Below are 7,478 nucleotides of genomic sequence, written 5' to 3'. Positions count from 1 at the left end.
AAACCAGATTGCAACACACATCAAAAGCAATCCACTAAAGAAATTGCAAAGACAGAAAAAATGTATCACCCTCTTACATAGCCAGGCAGATAGAATCTATTACATATGTGTTAATTGCACTCATCCAAAGGAAGAAGAAAACTCTCATATGCTACAACTTGTAGCCAGACTCCTAGGCAAAGCTCCCAGAGAGACAGGAGACAGGGCACCATCCATCTTAATGTTCACATTTCAAAGAGATGGCTCCGAGGCCCCCGAGAAGCACATTCCTGGGAAGCCAAAGTGGCAAAGGGCTTGTTTAGCTTTCAGAAAGGTTTATATACCTCCCAAAGAGACAGAGAAAGGATTATAAAGGAAATACTCTAAGAAAAGGGAGGGAGGGACTTCTCTTTGCCTTTTGGCACCAGGGAAAATTCAATTTCTTTTTACTTGTACTTACCCTTATACTGCCTAGGAAATTAAGGAGAAGTTGAGGGTCCACTGAGTGGCAGGGCTGCCAGAGAATGGTTTCCCAGCCCAGTGCTGGAAGAGCTCCTATCTCCCAGGCGAGCTGGACCTCCCTTTCCCTGCCACTGACTCTTCCTCCTCCTGAGCTACTGGCCAGCCCTGGAGCGGCTGTCTCATAAGCTCTTACAAATGAGATGGAGCAGGGACCCCTCTTAGGGGCCTGGTCTCCCCAGCACCAAACAGAGGAATTAAAAAATCTTGAGTTTCTTAAAGGGAAATTCCAGGCACCTAGCTAGCCTGAGAAGTAAATGAACAACTTGATAAGCAAGAGAGTAATAGTAGCTTAAAACAATAATCATGGAAGTGAGAATCATGGGATGTTTGGCTCCCTGTAAAAACTAAAGATAACATCTTTTTTTGTTTGTTTGATTTTGTTTTGTTTTGAGACAGGGTCTCACTCTGTTGCCCAGGCTGGAGTGCAGTGGTGCAATCATGACTCACTGCATCCTTGATCTGAGGGCTCAAGCAATCCTCCCATCTCAGCTCTGTCAGTAGCTGGGACCACAGGCACATGCCACCACAACTTGTTAATTTTTGTATTTTTTTTTTTTTTTGTAGAGGCAGGGTTTCGTCATGTTGCCCACACTGGTCAAACTACTAGGCTCGAGCAATCTGCCTACCACAGTCTCCCAAAGTATTGAGATTACAGTCGTAAGCCACCATGCCCAGCCAAAGATAGCATCTTAAAGATAGCAGCAGGAGACAGACAAATTCCCAGGCAGATTGGGGTGGGTCCCCCATGAAACCCAACCTCCAAGCCAAAGACAGCCTGAAGCCTGAAAACCAGGCTGTCAGTTCTGGATGGAGTCCATGACCAGAATGAGAACTTCTATTTTCATTTGCCTGCTCTTTCCCAATTGGTTCTTTCTGAATAATGCTTTTTAACCAATCAAGTGTTGCCTTTTCCAAGGCTATGGATAGCTGACACCTCCCACATTCTGAGCCCATAAAAACTGGAGAGACTCAGCCACACATTGAGACTACCTACCTTCAGCTCCCCTCTCTGCTGAGAGCTGTTTTGTTGCTCAATAAAGCTCTTCTCTGCCTTGCTCACTCTCCAGTTGTCAGCATAATCTCATTCTTCATGGACATGGGACAAGAACCCAGGACCCACCAAACAGTGGGTGCAAAAGTAGCTGCTGTAACACTGTAGCCCTCCCACCCTCCGCCAGTGCTGGGCATCCGTCCCACGTGATGGGAAATGGCAGCAGGGCCGGGCCTTCCCAGGAGCCACAAGCTAGAGCAGGGCAGCAGGACTGAATGAGCTGTTAACATACCCCCATTTTCTGCACTGTGAGTGGCGGGAAGGAGAAAAGAGCTGCAACCCTTCTGGACATCTAGACCTCAGAGCTTCTGGAGCCAGTGCTGTGACATGATGTAACACCCCCTTTGGGGCTTCACAGGTGCTGGCATCTCCAAGTTTTTGGGTGCCACTGTGTTCCCCTAGTCTGGATGCCAGCACCTGGAGCTGCTCATTCCATTGCAGCAGCTGATGCACCTGACTGTGCACAGTAACTGGACCCTGCAAACTTGCCACTCCACACCTGGCTCACCTGTGGTGGCTGGTAGGGTGAGCTGGGTGCAGCCTGCTGGGCCAACTGGATGGAGCAAGGCCAGAGGCCAGCTCAGAGCTGAGTGAGGCCCAGGCAGGGGTGCAGCCAGCTGCAGAGGTCTCTGGCTGGTGAAGTGGCACCCCAAAAAAGTCCTGTGCCATTAACATATGTCCCAGAGTTGTTTCAGAAACCTGGACCCCCACCAATGGATCCACCAAATGGATCCACTGACACATAGACTTCAGATAAAGAGGAATTGAGGACTGAATTCTGACTGCCATTCTTTGTTCTAAATTTCTCCCTGGGGAGCCTGGAGGAAGTCACACCCATGAGCCAGAGCTGACATTCTTTTCTACTGATCCCACAGTTTTAGACAAAGCTTTGCCTCACCTATGACCTGTGGGCCCACTTCAAGATGTTCCACCTTTCTAGGTTAAACCAATGTATAACCTCCATGATTTCTTATTTTGCCTGTAACCTCTGCCTCCTGCCTTTAAAACCCTTACCTGTGGCCGGGCACAGTGGCTTATGCCTATAATCACAGCACTTTGGGAGGCCGAGGCGGGTGGATTGCCTGAGGTCAGGAGTTTGAGACCATCCTGGCCAACATGGTTAAACCCCGTCTCTACTAAAAATACAAAAATTAGCCGGGTGTGGTGGCAGGCACCTGAAGTCCCAGCTATTCAGGAGGCTGAGGCAGAAGAATCACTTGAACCCAGGAGGTGGAGCTTAAAGTGAGCCAAGATTGTGCCACTGCCCTCCAGCCTTGGCGACAGAGCGAGACTCCGTCTCAAAAAAAACAGAACAAAACAAAAAGCAAAACAAAAAAAATGACGAGTTAATGGGTGCAGCACACCAACATGGCACATGTATACATATGTAACAAACCTGCCCATTGTGCACATGTACCCTAGAACTTAAATAAAAATACATATATATATTAAAAAAAAAAAAACCCTTACCTGCAAGCTATTGTGGAGGTCAGGAGTTAAGTGTTAGATGCCCGATCCTCCTTGCTTGGTATCCAGTTTGGTTTCATAATATAAGTGTGTTGCAGGGGAATCTTTTCCTCTACCCATCTTAGGTTTTCCAACTGAAACCTTATAAGTTAGACTGGCCAAAGACTGATTAACAAGAGAAAAACAAGTCTACTTACAAGTTCGTTGTCTGTGTACACACAGGAACACTAAGAGGTGAGTAACCCAAAGGGGTGGTTAGACTGGGGGTTAAATACCATCTTAGGCTAAAACAAAAAAGAAGGGGTTGGGGCTTCTGTGTAGGGGAGGCAACTTATGAGAAGTTAACCAGGAAAAGGATGGTAAACAAGAGGTGTTTAGTAAGATTTGTTGTGCAGAATTAAGTCTGCCCTTTCTCCTCTGATGAGTAGTTAAGAGTCTTCTTCCTGGGAGAAGGAGACACCTCTACAATCCTTTACAAAAGGAAAACTTAGACTCTGTTTTTAGACCTTTCGTGCATCTGCTGGTTCTCAATAGCCTTCAGCTCAAAATAATTATATGCCAAAGAGGCATATTTGGGGTGGCATATTCTAGTACACTTAGCAAGCAACATCCTAGACTCAGGTTTCCACATTTTCTTTCCCCATCTCCACTGCCATCTCTCCCTCTGAAACCTATCGTATGCACTATGGACCCCAGCCTTGGAAACACAATAGGCCTTCTTATTTTTGACCCTTAAATGCAAAAGACTGACTACCACAAGTGGAGAGTAGGAGAAAGAATTCAAGCCTCAAGGCAAGTTCCTACATCTCTCCTTAGATCTGATGAGATTAGAACACAGCTTACTCTCCGACAGGGGTTCAGGAATCTGCAAATAGTTCAAGGAGTCACCAGGTCCTGGGAAACAAAACTAAAACTCTAGACACCTGGGACCCAGCCCAGACTGACTAAACCAGAGCAGGGCAGTTTTTAAAGCTCCCCAGGATCCTCAAGTGCAGCCAAGGTTGAGAGCCACCAGCCAGAGGAAGAACAGAAGAGGAATTTTTTATGTGTTGTTAAGGAGTCCAGACTGGAAGCCTCTGAAGCTTTGTAGAGGAGAAGAATAGTAAGATTAGTCATTTTGAAAGATCCTCTGGCAGCTGGCCATGTGGAGGGTGCATAGGAAAGGAACAAAGAGAGGAGATGGGTTACGAGATGGTTAGGTTAATGCAGGTGAGAGCCATCTGGGCTTGAGCCAACATAGGGGTTGGAGGAGTAGGAAGATGGGAATAAATCTGAGAAAGGCGAAGGTGGGGATTCAACCTCACCATCAAGCAAGGTTATGCTTTCCACTTTTTTTTTTTTTTGAAAAGGAGTTTTGCTCTTGTTGCCCAAGCTGGAGTGCAGTGGCAAGATCTCGGCTCACTGACCTCAGCCTTCCAGGTTCAAGCAATTCTCCTGCCTCAGCCTCTCAAGTAGCTGGGATTAGAGGCACCTACCACCACATCTGGCTAATGTTTGTATTTTTAGTAGAGACGGGGTTTCACCATGTTGGTCAGGCTGGTCTCGAACTCCTGACCTCATGATCTGCCTGCCTCGGCCTACCAAAGTACTGGGATTACAGGTGTGAGCCACCGTGCCTGGCCACTTTCCACTTTTCTCTGCTCTCCAGTTTCTGCTGTCTTTAAGGCAGTTCCCAGAAGAACTGGAGTTTATGTTCACACCAAGCAGAGCAGCAGTGTCTCCTCATCTTTGAGGGCCAGAGACATCTGCTTGCATCACTCAGCAAAGGCAACTATTAGTGCTAAGTAATTCTAACAGGGCTATGTTAGGGTACAGAGTTTCTTGGCACTTTTTAAAAATAATTTTAATTTTTGTACATAATAGGTGTATATATTTATGGAGAACCTGAGATGTTTTGATGCAAGCATGCAATGTGAAATAAGCACATCATAAGAAAGGGGTATTCACCCCCTCAAGCATTTATCCTTTGTGTCGCAAACAATCCAAGTATACTCTTTTAGTTATTTTAAGTGTACAATTAACTTCTTATTGACTATAGGCACCCTGTTGTGTTCTCAAACAGTAGGTCTTCTTCATTCTTTCTAGTTATTTTTTGCATGCATTAACCATCCCCATCTCTCCCCACCCACCCACCAGCCCCCGAATAGCTTTCCCAGCCTCTGATAACTATCCTTCTACTCTCTATATCCATGTGTTCAATTATTTTGATTTTTAGATCTCACAAATAAGTGAGAACATGCAATGTTTGTCTTTCTGTGCCTGGCTTATTTCACTTAACATGATGTCTTCCATGTCCATCCATGTTGTTGTAAATGACAGGATCTCAGTCTTTTTAAGGGGTGAATAGTACTGCATTGTGTGGATGTATCACATTTTCTTTATCCATTCATCTGTTGATGGACACTTAGGTTGCTTCCAAATCTTAACTATCGTAAACAGTGCTGCAAAAAACATGGAAGTGCAGATATCTCCTCAAGATATTGATTTCCTTTCTTTTGGGTATATGTCCAACAGTGGGATGGCTAGATCATATGATGGGTACTTTTATCTATTCTCAACTTCACAAATGTTTGTCACATAGTTACCTTACTAAGGTAAAAGAAAAGCAAATTTATGATAATTTGATTATTAAACAATTTCTGCTCATGATTAACATTCTTGTAGCTAACTTAAAGTTTCTGGGAAGGAATACTGGAGATTAAACTCAGGGATTGATTTTTTTTTTTTTCCGTTTTTGTCCCTCTTTCCTAACAGTCTTCAAAGGAGAACGACCCATTTCCCAATTTACTTGATAGAAGTCCCTAAACTCGGAGCATCGAGTGTGAGGCTTTGGAGCTGCAAGTGCCTGAGCTTGGATTTCAGGTTAATTGTGGTCTCAGATGCTGCCATCTAACCAATCTAAGAATCCCATGTTGGGCTGGAAAATGCGTCTGGAGAGTAGGGGACGGTATTTGCTGCTCAGTTGTTAGGTATGATATGCTGTGCCCCCTAGAGGCATTAAAAGTTTCTCTTCCTAGCTGACCCTGTTAGTTCCTATTTCACCATTGCCTGAAGCCACAGGAAAATGTTTCCTGTGTCTGAGAATTCAGCAACAATGATGGCTACGTCTCTTTTTCACCTGGAAAAGCTTCACCTACTTTGACATCCTCATCTTATCAGACATTTTAGCAGCATTTGCTTCAGTGAACCACCCCTTTCTTGTTGGGACTTTATCTTCCTAAGTTCTGGGATGATGATATTGTCTTAGTTTCCCTCCTCTCTCTAGCTGCTCCTTTCAATCTCCTTTTCGGCTTTTTTCTCCCAAGAGACTAAATATACAAATGGACAATGGCCACATGATATATAAATAGAACTATGACTCACAGCTTGCAGCTACCTGCCAGGAACCCAACCCCTTTATCTACAATAAACAACCGGAAGCCAGCCTGCTATAAGTCAGACTCATAGAAAGCCGGACTGCTATCTCTAGTAACAATTCAGGAAGTTAAATAATAATATCCATAACAGTTGGCCCACAATGACCAGGACTTGATTAATAACTGACAGCTCCCCTAATTTTTGTCTTCACTTTAATTTTAGGACCAACCAGAGAAAACCAAATATGCATCCCTAGCCAATTCCATGGGACACCCTGCCCCTAATTAGCTCACCTAGGGCTTCGCCATGCCAACAGACTCCCATCAGGGTGCACCTGCAGCCTTCCCTTCCTTTCCACTGTGAAAGAAAACAAAATCGCAGGACCCTAAACTCACTATGCCAAAGGGAAAGTTAAGCTTGGGAACTGAGTCATGCAATACTGCCTTTCTTTTGTTCTCAAATAGCTGTAATTTCAAAACCCTGTGTCATAACGTCATACATAAGCCAGGTTCCCACAAAGATAGGAGGCCACATATCTCCCCAGATGGCCTTCTTCACAAATTGCTCACAAGGAAATTCTGTGTGAGCCCTAAATCTTATAGGATACATATCCCCCCTATAAGCTAGCCCCGAAACTGAGTTCTGTTCAATCTCACCCTAACAATGTCAATTACAAGTTTATCTTCACAGGTAAGAGGACAAGGACAAGACCAGAAATCATCCCTTCATCCACCCTGAGATAAATGCATCATTGACTTTTCCCCATACTTCCTCTTTTCACGTGTTTGCTTTATTTTATGTAAAATGCCAATTTACTGAGCGTTAATCAGAACCTCACAATAATGTTACCATTTGCCTCACTGCCCACCCTCCCTCGCTTTTTTCCCTCCTGTCTGTTCTTTGCCTTTTCGACACTGAATTCCCAAAACCCTCTTTGGAAAGCACAGGTCATAGATGTTCCTGTGACTCGAGTTTTTCCCAGGCACATTCTCAGCCTTGGCGAAATAAACCGCTATCAATTGAGACACCTGCCTCTGTCAGTTTTTGGTTAACATCACTGTCAAACTTTCCCACTCTTGCCTTGGAGTCTCTACCAAAATGT

At 44.7% G+C, this 7,478-nt stretch overlaps 1 long non-coding RNA gene across 1 annotated transcript, besides 1 other annotated feature; it reads left to right on the top strand.

The window, feature by feature from the left end:
* Positions 1 to 7,478: part of a sequence alteration artifact (region identified as an assembly artifact by the Genome Reference Consortium. This region falsely duplicates sequence located at GRCh38 chr21:34374240-34495759) that runs on past both edges of the window.
* LOC105379505 (uncharacterized) lies at positions 3,031 to 6,035 on the top strand. Its single transcript, XR_951148.2, has 2 exons — positions 3,031 to 3,253; positions 5,774 to 6,035. It is a non-coding gene; the product is annotated as an uncharacterized LOC105379505 (long non-coding RNA).

Source organism: Homo sapiens, chromosome 21, assembly GCF_000001405.40.
Source record: "Homo sapiens chromosome 21, GRCh38.p14 Primary Assembly".
Lineage (NCBI taxonomy): Eukaryota > Metazoa > Chordata > Mammalia > Primates > Hominidae > Homo > Homo sapiens.
The sequence above is the reverse complement of the archived record's forward strand: the minus strand, read 5'-3'. Positions and strand labels throughout refer to the sequence as shown.